At 42.9% G+C, this 14,116-nt stretch overlaps 1 protein-coding gene across 5 annotated transcripts in view; it reads left to right on the top strand.

Annotated features, from left to right (window-relative positions):
* MYO5C (myosin VC) overlaps nt 1-14,116 on the top strand; it is a 103,483-nt gene that overhangs the window by 75,361 nt on the left and 14,006 nt on the right. For all 5 annotated transcript variants that reach the window (XM_047432845.1, XM_017022408.3, XM_011521781.4 and 2 more), the window contains 6 exons: nt 622-685; nt 1,757-1,925; nt 5,754-5,841; nt 7,158-7,256; nt 8,560-8,714; nt 11,801-11,890. In XM_047432845.1, the coding sequence (XP_047288801.1) occupies nt 622-685; nt 1,757-1,925; nt 5,754-5,841; nt 7,158-7,256; nt 8,560-8,714; nt 11,801-11,890 (665 nt within the window). The remainder of the gene's footprint in view (nt 1-621; nt 686-1,756; nt 1,926-5,753; nt 5,842-7,157; nt 7,257-8,559; nt 8,715-11,800; nt 11,891-14,116) is intronic.

The following is a 14,116-nucleotide window of genomic DNA, read 5'->3' as shown; positions in this document are numbered from 1 at the left end:
GAGGTGATGGCTGAAGTGAGCCGTGGTTGTGCCACTGCATTCCAGCCTGGGTGACAGAGTGAGATCCTGTCTCTGAAAAAACATACAAAAAAATAAACAGGCTGCTGCCTCCAAGCTCCACTGATTGTTGCCCAGTGGGAATGTGGGCCCAGTATTGCTAGAGATTCCTATTTTTAAAGAAAACCCAGGAATCCAGATTTTTATGTGGAATATTTATGTGGAACAATTTTTAAATGATGGTTTAAAAATGTTTAAACATTGTTCAGACCAAATAAAAGTTAATCTCTGTCTGGATACAGTTTAAGACAAGCTTGTTCAAGCCGCAGCCTATAGGCCACATGCAGCCCATGACAGCTTTCAGGGAGGCCCAATACAAATTCGTAAACTTTCTTAAAACATGAGATTTTTTTGCAGTTTTGTTTTTCAGCTCATCAGCTATTGTTAGTGTTAGTGTATTTTATATGTGGCCCAAGACAATTCTTCTTCCAATATGGGCCAGAGAAGCCAAAAGATCGGACACCCCTAGTTTAGGACCTCTAAAAATTGAAAATAATACCAAACCCAAATCAGAATGCAGTGATATGTGCCCCCCCAAAGTACTGACAGTTCTTCTCATTATAGGAAAACTAGAAGAATTGTCTAATCAGTTACATCGCAGTCAAGAGGAGGAAGGAACACAAAGAAAGTAAGTGTAAATATGTGTGTACCTCAAGTTCATGCTCGTGTAATGCTTTTCTGAAACTGTAGAATATACCAAGATGTGTTACTAATGCCAAAAAGCAAGATGCTAATTAATATATATGACATATTGCCATTCTGATGGGAAGGAAAGAAATATGTGTATGTACAACACACTCAGCAGCAGCAGCATCTCTGGGAGATTGTTAAGGAACAAAACATTGGTTGCCTCCAGGCAGTTGGTTGCCTTCAGGCTTGGTGACTGATACACAGAGGAGGGGAGGACACGTACTTTTCACTGTATGCGTACACTTTTGTACCCTTGAAATGCTATACCATGCACTTGAATTATCTGTTCAAACAACAGATAAGAGTGTGTGAGAGAGGACGGTTTCTATTAGCAGACTATTTAGGGTAAGAATTAAAAGCCCATGTTGATGGAAAATCTTCATTGCTAATCCCCCCAAATTTCCATCACGAGACCAATAAAGGGCCTCGTGCCCTGGCAGAGCCTTGTGGGGAGAATGTTCTGTTTTGTTGCCAACTTGTTGAGACACTTATTTTTCCAAAATAATAAATGGGCACTTGACATCCCCAAGAGCATCTTTAGTTATGTGACTTTATCAGTAGGATGAGGACCCAAAGTAGTGGAAAAGGAGCGAGGCACCATTTTGGAACTCTTCTAATGGTCTCTCCTCCTCTCTTCTGTCTGATCCCTGGCTTTGTGAGTGTCTGGTCCCCAGGCTGGTCACAAAGGGGATGACTGCTTAGCTGTCACAGCGTATGGTGGGCGTGGATGTCCCATGGGAACAGTAAGTGGGGCTGAGGTTGGGTGGAGAATGGAACTCTTATTGGGGGAAGGAGACCAGAGCAGTCCATGGACAGTTTTCTATCCCAGCCAGTCCTGGTCTCTTTTCTTTCCCCTGGAAGGACACCCCTATTCGAATACTATTTGCTTTACACAGAAATTGGCCAAGGTGTTCTTCCATCTTTGGAAATATCAGCACTTGCTATGACAGTGAGTGACTTCTCCATGACCGTCATACTGATACCAGCCATTCCTCCCTCCCTTTCTCAGGGCCTTGGAAGCCCAAAATGAAATACATACCAAAGAGAAGGAGAAGCTGATTGATAAGATTCAAGAAATGCAGGAGGCCAGTGACCACTTGAAGAAACAATTTGAAACTGAAAGTGAAGTCAAGTGTAACTTCCGGCAGGAAGCATCCCGGCTCACTTTGGAAAACAGGGTGAGAAGTCTTCTAACTTGGTGATAAAGACTGTCTGTGTGCAGATGTTGCTGAAAGGGGGGACATGCCACCTAAAGCATATGATTAACATCTATAGACCAAAAGTCCTTCCATCAGAGCAGTCTGTTTTCTTATCCCAAAAGACAGGTGGTCTCTGAGGTTGGCTTTGGGAAGGCCTTGGGGACTTACAGGCCCGCCTGGGGAGGGTGAAGGAGGAGAGACAGAGAGGTGCAGGCCGTAGTTCCCCAGCACTATCAGTGCACGGCACCACCCAGGATGGAGTCACTGTGCTCTGGAACACACTGAGGATAGCAAGGCCTACGTGTGAGTGCTTTACCCAGCAAAACTCACCCCATATAAGTGCCCATGCTTTCTTCTGGGGGTATGGCCTTCCTACAATTTTTAGAGTCAAAATGTTCTTCTATGAAATGATCATGATGTCGATGGAAGGCTTAAAAACTTTTTAAAAGTGTTTAAGGTCTTTTCTGAGTTTTAAATGCCCTTACCAAAATGAAATCGGGTAACCTTACATCAATTCCCAGCAATTATTTTGAAATTGTGATGCTGTGTGGAACCCAGAAGACTGAGAAGTGCTGAAGTGACAGGCCACTTTCCTAGGAGCTGGGACCCTCTCGGGCCCCTTCGAAACCTGAGAGCTTCCAGCTTCCAAGAGGGTAACGCAGGAGGGCTGACGAGTCCAGTGGGTCAGTGTGGACATGCCCACGTACCCTTCTCCCTGCTGACAGGGCCCCCATTTCCAATCTCACAGGAAAACCTTGATAGAGGAAAAACATATTTTGAGTGTCAGGGTTTAACTTTGAAGAGTGGTTACATCCAAAAAGAGAAATTCCAGGAGTTTGACATTTAATAGGAAGTAACAAATTCCAATCAGTGACACCTACATGACAGCTGCCTTTTCTGAGGTGGATACAACTTTCTCAGAGACTGGAATCCTCGTGTTACAACAGAGAAGCAACCGCCTGTTGTCCATGTGTGAGGCTGCCTTGCCTTGCCTTGCCTCCTGTGGGCCCCTGGGATCTCAATGGAGTCAGCGGTCAGGGAGAAGCTACATGGGTGGGTCATGTGTGTGCTGCGCATGTCATCCCATGTGATCCTTTACTCTGACTGTCCCTGTGCATTGTGACGGATTTATGAGTTCGTTCCTGGTGCCCTGGAGCACAGCTCGGTCCTGGCGCCCTCTTCTGGAGCTCCTCCAAGTGTCTGGCTCTGCTCCCCACAGGTGCGCTGAGCTAAGGAGCTGGCAGGCCTGACATGCTCATTTCAATAGCTCTTTCTGAACCCGGAGTAGCCTCACTGTTACATAGAAGCAGACGGACACACAACAAGAGTATCATCTCTATACATTAGCCGGCGGATTCTACCCACAAATGAGACCTGATCTGTATTAGTTTGCCAGGGCTGCTGTAACAAATGACCACAAACCAGGTGCTTTAAAACAACAGAAATGTGTTCTCTCAATTATGGAGGTCAGAAGTCTGAAGTCAAGGTGTCAGCAGGGCACACTCCTCCGAAGTCTCTAAGGAAAACCCTTCCTTGCCTCTCCCAGCTTCTAGAGGGCTCCAGGCATTCCTTGGTTTGGAACAGTGTAACTCCAGCCTCTGCCTCTCTGCACCTGGCCTTCTCCCTGTCTCTGTGTTCTTTTCCATCTGTTATAAGGACACCTGCATTGGATTTACAGCCCACCCTAAATTGTAGTAGCCACCTCTCATACTGACCCTTAGCTTACCACAGCTGCAAAGACCCTATTTCCATATAAAGGCACATTCTGGAGTTTGGGTTGGACATGAATTTCAAGGTGACACTGTTCAAACCACTATGTGATGCTTTGAGTCAAAGAAATTTCTTTTTTTTTTCCAGACTCTTTTGTCACTGAATTCTTATTAAGAGATTAAAAAAAAACTTTTAGTAATCATTTCACTATTTATCAAAGAAATTCAAAATCAAAACTAGGTACTATTTTTGCCTGTCAAATTAACAGAGACCTGGGCCTGGCACAGTGGCTCATGCCTGTAATCCCAGCACTTTAAGATGTCATGGCAGAAGTATGACTTGAGGCCAGGAGTTCAACCAGCCAGGGCAACGTAGTGAGACCCCATCTCTACAAGGAAAACTTTAAAAATATATATATAGTGGTGCATGCCTGTAGCTCTGGCTACTCAGGAGGCTGAGGCAAGAGGACTGCTTGAGCCCAGGAGATTGAGGCTGCAGTGAGCTATGATCACACTACTGCACTCCAGCCTGGATGACAGAGCAAAATCCTGTCTCTAAAAATACTACTACTAATAATAATAATAATTAATAGAGATCTTATGCTGCTGGAGAGAACATCTTGAAATGGGCACTGTCATACATGGTTGCTGGGAATATAAATTGGTATAAACTTTCTTGAGGGCTTATTTGAAGGTATGGATCATGAACCTTTGGAAAGTACATTCCCTTTGACTCAGTAACACAACTTGTAAGGTTCTATCCTAAGTAAATACTTGAACATGTGGACGAGATTTTTGTTCAGAGTGATCATCTTAGTGTTATTAATCATAGAGAAAAAAAGCAACCCAAAGGAGAGAAATGCATACCTAACAATAGAGCAAAGGTTAAATTGTTGTATGATATAATATGACTTGGCTGTTAAAATGATGGTTTGAGTATATTATCAATGACATGGGAAAACGTCTGCAGTATAACTAGAGAAAAATGTAGGATTTGAAATTTTGCATGTAATATGATCCCAATTTTATAAAATGTACATTTACCATATTGGGAAAAAAGGAATGAAATCAAAATGTGAAGAGTGGTTTTTTTCTGGGTTATGGGTTGATGGGTGACCCATTTTATTAGATATATTATAAGATGGGCTTGAATTGGAGGGAGGAAGCTGTACTGACACCGCCACTTCTAAGGTCAATAGAGTTCCTAACATGTCTAGCCAGGGACACAGAATGGTGGCAGGGAGAGAGGTGGCCGCACAGAGTAGAAACAGCACAATGTCCCTCGGCCCCAAGAGTCCCTAGAGGGCACACAGCTGCAGTGACCCTGCATGGTGGGTCTTTCTGGGTCAGAGAAGCCTGAATTCTATATGTGTCAAATGCTCAGATGTGGAAGAACTTAAACACTATGTCCTTTATAGGAAATATTTCTAGGTATCCAAGGACTCTTCTGGTTCTTGAGCCAAATTCAGCATGGGCAAGGCCACCTACTTATCAGGAAAGAAAGGCAAAACCAGGCCCAAATCTCTGAACATTTCTCTAGCTCCAGCTTCTGAAATCTAGAAAGCCCATTTTCCCACATTCATATTTTTAAATTCTCTATGATGGGCACTCCTATGTAATAAGAGCAAGATAAATGTAGTATATGCATACAATAGGATATTATTCAGCCATACGAATATATGAAATGCTGATACATGCTACGACATGGATGAATTTTGAAAACCTTATGCTAAGTGAAAGAAGCCAGACACACACACAAAAAACCTATTCTATGAATTTATTTATATGAGATGTCCAGAATAGGCAAATCCATAGAGACAGAAAGTAGATGAGTGGTTGCCAGGTGCTGGAAGGTAATGAGAAACTAGAGAGTGACACTAAAGGTCAGTTTTATTTTTGGAGTAATAAAATGTTCTGGAATTAAATAATGATGATTGTAGCACAACTCTGACTACACTAAAAAACCTTTGAGTTTACACTTTAAATGGGTGAGTTGTACGGTATGCAAATTGTATGTCAATAAAGCTGTTACCCAAAAAAAAAAAAAATAGATTAAAGTGCTTCTAAGCTAAATCCTGGTTTCTTTTTATTGCTGTAGGATCTTGAAGAAGAATTAGACATGAAAGACAGAGTGATTAAAAAGCTACAAGATCAAGTCAAGACACTAAGCAAGACAATTGGAAAAGGTAAGAAACAATACTTGTTTTCTTATTCTTTTGAGCTAAGGCTAACATGCGCTCAAGTGTTTATTTTCTTTCTGGTCCAAAGCTTATGAAACCCAAAGGAATGATTCTCAAGTGGTGAGGTTTGTGACCTAGTGCTGGGCTAACGAAAGGATCCTTTGGGTCAGGAAGACAGCTCCCTCCCACTCAGATGATACCAGATACATTCATGTACTCGCAAGAGACATCCTATAATTAACACATTAACCTCTTCCTCTGTTAGCTCCCTTTTTTAAAAAATGAAATTGTGAACAATTTTTCAATTTACTGCTTTGAAATTCACCTTCTCTCCCTGTTACATATGTAGGATCAGTAAGTATCCAAATTTCTATTAGAAAAGTAGAGAGCTAAGAAGCAGACATCCTGAACATGGACTGCATGGCACACATAAAGCATCCTCGTGAGCCTCTGTGAAAGGGACCCTCCTCCCTTCTTCCCTCCTTCTGCTTCTGTCACTGAACTTTTCTGTGTTCAGCTCCTGCTCACATTTCTCACTCTTTCATTCTTTATTACCTTTTCCCCTTCCTCCCAGCCTTACTGCCAAGGCTGTATCTTGTTTCTTTTTCTATATTCATCTCTTTGAAGAGCAGCTTTATTCTTACTTATCCAACTCTCACCTCAAATTTGAAATGTCCACAAGCAAACTGAGGATCCCTTTCCTTCAGTAATAAATGACAAATGGCAGTCTGCCCCATGAGAGCAGGGCCCAGGTCTGTGCTTCCCAGCCCCCGCTGCATCCCCACTGCTGGGATGAATGAATGAACCATCATTCACCACCCTGGCTCACCTTTCAGACTTCTGACCTCCAGAGCTGTATGATTAAACATTTGTGTTGTTTTAAGCCTCTATGTTTGTGATAACTTTACAGCAGCCACAGGAAACTAATACAGCTGTCTCAGTAAGGATCATGCACATTGGTATTTTGCACACCAAATGTTTCACAAGTCTTCTTTCACAGTAGCATTGGCATCTTGAAGACAAGGCAACATCTTGGATTTCTTTCCTGTTACCATGTGCTGGATACATATCAGGCACTCATAAGGCTCTTCAAAGGATAATTGGGCCTTTTCAGCAGCAGCTGTACTCACTGATGTACTCATAAAGAGGAATCACTACTTGGAGAAATTCTTCAGGATACAATACAGTACAGTTTTAATGTATCTGAAAGCCACAGACATTTACGTGCAAACCAGCCAGAATGGGGTAGGAGAGTAGTCACATTGTGAGACCTGTGAAAGCTGCTTTTGTGTATTTAGCTGATTGTTTGCCTCTGTCTACAGCCAATGATGTGCACTCGTCCTCAGGACCCAAGGAGTACCTTGGAATGCTGCAATACAAGAGAGAAGACGAGGCCAAGCTCATTCAGAACCTCATTCTTGGTAGTGAAACCTGGAACTCTGGATTTTTGCTTTCTCTTTGAGAACTTGCATATCAGTCAGTGCCAAAGTCCTGGGCAGGGGTGGTCCTTTTTCTACTTTTTCTTCCACTGCTTCTTCCCCCAGCCCAGAGTTTCTCAACCTCAGCACTGTTGACCTGTTAACTCTGTGAATGGGGAGTAACAAAGGATGGAGCAGCATCCTTGACTTCTACTCACTAGAAGGCAGCAGCAACCCCTAGTGATGACAATAAAAGATATCTCCAGGTATTGCCGAATGTCCTGTGGGGGCCAAAACTGTCCTCAGTTGAGAACCACTGCCCTGACCTTTTCCAAATTGTAGGACCAGGGTAGAAGAGAAACATCACCTCATTTTTGTGTCTCAGCACAGGAGCCATCATGGAAGCAATTGTGGCTCTGTGCTCCATTTGACTTCTGAGAAATTTCTCTGCGGGCAATGTGATGGGGCTTCCCAGCCATGCCTCAGTTACAGGAATGTCCCATGTGCATGCTCAAGAGTTGGTGGTCATAGAACCAATCTTACTGCACTGTCTTCACTGTGACCTTCCACGTGGTTTTCTGGCATAGGGAGAAAAATCTGCCTCCCTGTCAGCTGGCCCCAAGATCTCAAAACAGAAAGCCAACGTGTAGCCTTCCTTCCTCTTCTGCGAGTGACCCCCTTGGCTCATATGAGCACCTCTACCCTTTTCTTTCCCCTCATCACTGGTGTCATGCAGTGTGAGCCTCTTCTTTGTTCTTCTGTCTTCCTGCAGCCAGGGGACATCCTTGTTTGCTTATCTTAACTTTTTTTGTAAGATTTCTCTCTCCCCTTCATCCCCACTGAGCGTTTCCACCATTCTGTTCTCCTCAAGGCCAGCCAGGCATCCTCTGCTGCACTGGGTGTGCCTGCTTTCCCTATTCAAGGCAGCTTCATGTGACTGTGGACACTGTACGCCATCCTCATCAAAGCGCTTGGAGTAGGGGTGCATGGAATGGAGTTTCTTTCTTACAATGGGGGTCTGAAATCCAGGGTTTCCACACCAGGGAAAAATAAAGATTCTGTCTCTTATTCAACCTTTTAAGAAAGAGAAAGTCCTTTGTAAACAAGAAGAGGAACAAGTGACACCTGTGTATCTTGTGCCAAGAAAGGAGCCAGATGGAATTCCTCAAAGAGGAAATAAATCCATATACATTCAGGCACTGTGTCAAGCACAGAAAAGCAAACAAGCCCCTGCCCCTAGTCACAAGTTCCTTAGGAGAAGAGCTGACCTGTCAGCTGTAATCCTCATTGGCTCTCTCTGCTTCAGACTTGAAGCCCCGTGGCGTGGTGGTGAACATGATCCCCGGGCTGCCGGCTCATATCCTGTTCATGTGTGTGCGCTACGCAGACTCTCTGAATGATGCCAACATGCTGAAGTCCCTCATGAACAGCACCATTAATGGCATCAAGCAGGTGGTTAAGGTAGGAAATGCCTTTGACATTGGCCCCTGGTATCACATCTATGGGAATGACCAGATGCCCAGTCTTTGCCCATCCTGAGCCTCCATTGTGTGGTGAGCCACATGATTCCTCAAACAAGTTTGAGGCCCAACTAGTGAAGGGAGCCACACTGTTAGGGAAAGATAAATGGATGAGCATCTGCCATAGGCCTCAAAGCCTTACCGGCGAGACTGCAACCTGGTAGCCACTGCCCCACCACTGCTATCCCCTTAGGGTGTAAAGTTATCAGCTGTGAGGGGTATAGGTTCTATCTCTGTAACAAGGGTAAATCATGAGAAATGAAATGGAGTGAAAAATTATTCATCTCTTCCCTTGGCAATTATATAATTCTTCTTCCTAAAAGCACATTGTGTATTTTTATTCCCAGTCCACAAATGAAGATGAACTGTGTATTAGTTAGGTTAGTTACTTAGTAAAGTTAAGCTATTGTAGCTATGAGACACCTGCCACCTCCCTTTGCCCAATATACAGTGTCTTAAAGAAGATGGAGGATTTTTCTTTGCTGATAGCGGTTCCATAATGAGCCATCTAGGTTGGAAGGTGGCTCTGTTCCACGTGATCATGAAGGGACCCAGGTTCCTTCCAACTTGCTGTTGGCCATTCCCTAAGTCGGTGTCCTTATTGGAATGACTGGACAAGCAGGCAGCCAGCAGTTTACCACTGGGCAAGAGGGAACCTACCATAGGACACAGACCATGTGTGTATGGTATACATATCAGAAGTCACCAACTGAACTCTTTATGAGCAATCATCTCTTCATGGTGTGACAAGTGGATAATGATCAAAAGTGACAATGACAAAGGGCGGGATTTTGTGAAGGCTAACAGTAACATAAAGTTTATTGCTAATTTCCTTTCCAACTGAAACATAATCCTAAAATCATTCTTAGCATACTGATTATTTTTCCTGGAAACTCCATAAGTGATCAATGAGTAAATAACTGTATCTAAGCATTGAAGATTTTTTTAAGCAGACCTGGATCCTTGCTTACAGGGATAGTTGCTTTGTAAAAAGAGTTCTCTGGTAATGCTTGGCGCATTCTGGAATCTTGGGTGTGGGTAGGGTGGTTGACTTAGTTCTAAGCCAGACCTGGTGCTACCCTGAATGTGGAAATTCCATTAGCCACAGTGGAGTTAGTACAAAAACCTTCTCTCTCTCTCTTTTTCTAGGAAATGACCAGTTTACAGTTATGTTAAAAAGTACCCGTTTCTGGGAATTACAATGTACTGATCCATATTGGAAGGGGGCAATAAGACATAAATAACACTAAAATAACAGTGTTTTCCATGCCCCTCCAAAAGAGAAGTGATGTTTGATATTAGGATATATTTGAATTTTTAGTTAGGGAGACCCTACCTCATTTTTAGTAAAATATGTGTTCTAAAGAGTAATGGGGAATTAAATTCTATTTTAAATACTCTAGGGAAGGCCAGGTGTGGTGGCTCACACCTGTAATCCCAGCACTTTGGGAGGCTGAGGCAGGTAGATCGCTTGAGCTCACAAGTTCAAGACCAGCCTGGGCAACATGGCAAAACCCTGTTTCTACAAAAAAGACAAAAATTGGCCAGGTGCGGTGGTGTGTGCCTGTAGTCCCAGCTACTCAGGAAGCTGAGGTGGGAAGATCACTTGAGCCCGGAAGGCAGAGGTTGCAGTAAGCCAAGATCACACCACTGCACTCCAGCCTGGGTGATAGAGCCAGACCTTGTCTCAAAAATAAATAAATTAATTAATTAATTAATAAACTCTAGGAAGAAAGAAATATAAAAACTAGATTTGTGAGAGATCAGAGTATGGTAATTCTCCTCTCCTTCCAAAAATATCATGAATTCATTATTTATCTGGAGTTAGGAATAGAAAATTCACATTTGTTTGGTGCTGGATACTTTATAGTCACCATCTTCACAGGAGCCACCACAGTGTTTTTGGAAGGGGCTCCCATAAATTGATGTTTTCCCTGTCCATATTTGCATAAATTGGGTTTTCTTAAGACAAGCTGGCATTGTGTTCCAGCCCAGGACACACAGTATTTGCTTCCCCTTGATGCTCTGGAATGTTTCGCCAAATATTCATAAATCAAGAGATGTGTGGTATGAGGACTATAAGACCCCTTTCTCACCAGCATCTTCAGTCTCAACTTCTCTGTGTCCCCCTCCCTCTGCCTTTGCATGTGCCCAGGACCTGCCTCTCCCCACCTCCAGCACACAGCAGTTACAGCAATGTGCCCATATACCCTCTTCAGCCACTATTCCTTTCCCTCCACCCCGGACTGCCAAAGTGCTTAAACTAGTGTTCTCCACCAATTCTCTTTGTCACTCCTTGCAATCTGGCTTCTAACCCATCACTCTACAGAGAGATCACCAGTAACTCCTCTTACTAAAACCAGTGGTGTTTCTTTACTTTTTATTCTCTCTAAATTGACCAAAGCATTAGCACCATCTCCTTGAAAGCTTCCTCCCTTGTCTTTTAAATCCCAGGATTTTCTCTGTTTTCCCCTCTGATCACTGTAGCTCTGCCTTCACTGCTTGTTCCTCTTCTTCCTGCCCTGTAAGTGGAGGCCTTCTCCCCAACAGTCCTAGTCCTGAGCTCTTGTCTCTCCACCCATTTCCCTCAAAGGCTAGACCTCCTTCCTCTCTGAGGTTTCCCTGGCTGCTCTGCCTCCCCATCCTCTCTCCTCGTCCTCTGAGCTTTGGTAGCACAGTCTACAGCCATCGTATGGGCTCTTGACCACCTACTAAAACTCTGTTCTATCTTCCCAGTGAGAGTGTGAACTTAGGAGAGCAAGAAGTGAAACTTGCATTTCTCATGCATTCCTTCAGGACCCACTTCACACTTCATAATGAGTGACACAACCTGTACAGAAACATGTTACAAACTGTGACCTATTAAATAAATATAAGTTCTTATAAGTATAATATGAATTGGATAAAGGCTTTAGTGAATAAAAGAAAAACTAATTTTGGTCAAAAGCTACAAATAACCAAACAGGTAAATGCTCAGAGGTACAAGTAATCATCAAGACCAATTTTGTCTTTTCTTATTTTCCTAAGGAACATTTAGAAGACTTTGAAATGCTGTCCTTTTGGCTTTCCAACACTTGTCATTTTCTCAATTGCCTGAAGCAGTACAGCGGAGAAGAGGTAGGGGGCGCCCACCTGCTTGTTGTTTTGTGCTGACAGCCAGTCTATAACCTCCTCCTGAGCCAGAGCTCAATAGAGCCTCTATCCTCTCCACCAGGAGGCCAACAGCACATTATCTGTTGGACTCTTGGGCATACACCACAGGCAGGAGACTTCTGGAAGCAGCTTAGATTTTGGGCATGGTACTAGGCCTCCTAGGTCTCCATTACTTTTAAATCAATAGGTAGATAAGATGACTTTTAAGTTTCCTTCTGGCTGTAAGACGTTTAGCATTATGACTCTAAAATACAGGCTTTGGTTTAAAATGCCTGTTTCTTCACAGCTGTTCTCTCTACAGGACCCTGACTGTTCCTCCATAATCTATAAATATGTTTCCTTTGCCATTCCGACTCTGCTTCCAGGAGGCTGATGTCATGAAAGAGTTCTCCACCTTCAAGTACTCACAGAGAAAAATTTCATTGAACTAAAATAACAAAGTGGCTTTCAGGGTTTTCAGTGCTCTCCAAAATGGCTGTACCATTGCACAGCCCCACCAGCAGTGTATGATGTTTCCAGTGTCTCATACCTTCACCAACACTTGGTATTGACAGACATTTTTATCCTTTACCAGTGTCAGGGTATAAAATTATATCTTGTTGACTTAAATTGCATTTATTTGGTCACTAGTGAAGTCAAGCATAATTTTATATGTTTATTGGTCATTTGGGTTTCCTTTTGAATTGCCTAGTCACATCCTTCCTTTCTTTTTCTTAGGGTTGGTTTTTTTGTTACTGATTTGTAGGAGGTCTTTATATCATATGGATAGACTGTAGCTTAGCTTCTAATTTTCCTTATGAAGTCCCTTGTCACACAGTTTTTGAATTTTGATATGCTTAAATCTGTCAATCCTATTCTTTTATGATTTGTGTCTTAAGAAATTCTTCCCTGCCCTGAGATCATGAAGATCCTCTTCTAAACTTTTGTAGTTCATATTTAGAGTTCACAATTAATTATGTTTTTACCTATCCAAAATTGGTATGTAAGGTAATGATCTAATATCCTCTTCCATATAGATAACCAGTTGTCCCAATGGAAGGAAGTTAAAATAAAATATAACAGCAATCTGTCTAGTACTATAGAACAAAAGGAGAAGTAAAGAAAATCCAACCTCTGACTAAAAGGAATACCAAAACAGGAGGAGGCACAGACTAGTCCGTTTACAACAAACTGGCATCTGTGAGACATCAGTGGAAGAATGTTTTATTCAGCACTGTTTTATGATCCTTTCTTTGCCCCCTTCAGCCATGTATAGAATATTCTTTTCCCTGTCTGACTGCTTTTTCAGTTACCATATTTTTATTTCTAAAATTTCTCTTGTTCCTTTTCACCTCTGTCTCTTACCACAATGTCCTGTTCTTTTTTTTTTTTCTTTTTCTTTTTTGAGATGGGGGTCTCACTCTGTCACCCAGGCTGGAGTACAGTGGCACGATCTTGGCTCACTGCAACCTTTGCTTCCCAGGTTCAAGCAATTCTCCTGCCTCAGCCTCCTGAGTAGCTGTGGCTACAGGCATGCGCCACCATGCCCGGTTAATTTTTGTATTTTTAATAGAGATGGGGTTTCACCATGTTGGCCAGGCTGGTCTTGAACTCCTGACTTCAAGTGATCCGCCTGCCTCGGCCTCGCAAAGTGCTGGATTACAGGCGTAAGCCACCACGCCCAGCCCTATAATGTTCTATTCTTAATTTTTTCTTTTTCTTTAGTCTCTTTGAACATGTTAAACATATTCCATTAGTTCACTCAGGCTACTATAACAAAATACCGCAGGCTGGGTGGCTTAAACAAGAGATTTGTTTCCTCACAGTTCTGGAGGCTAAACATCTGAGATCAGGGTGCCAGCATGGTCACTTCCTGGTGAGGGCTCTCTTCCTGGCTTGCTGACAGCCACTTTCTCCATCCCTGTGTCCTCACAGGACCTTTCCTGGGTGCATGGGTCAGGAAGAGGGAGAGAGAGGGCAAGCTCTCTCTGGTGTCTCTTCTTATAAGGACATCAATCTTATTATTAGATCACGGCCCTATCCTCATGACCTCATTTAACCTCATTACCTCCCTAAAGGCCCCATCTCCAAATACAGCCACACTAGGGGGTTAGGGCTTCAATGTATGATTTTTAGGAAGACACATAAAATCCATAACACACACTTTAAAATATTTCAACTTTGTACCCTGTAAATTATAAGGTTATGAAT

This window comes from Homo sapiens, chromosome 15, assembly GCF_000001405.40.
Source record: "Homo sapiens chromosome 15, GRCh38.p14 Primary Assembly".
NCBI classification, from domain to species: domain Eukaryota; kingdom Metazoa; phylum Chordata; class Mammalia; order Primates; family Hominidae; genus Homo; species Homo sapiens.
Note: the sequence above shows the minus strand (reverse complement) of the source record. Positions and strands in the feature narration are given on the sequence as shown.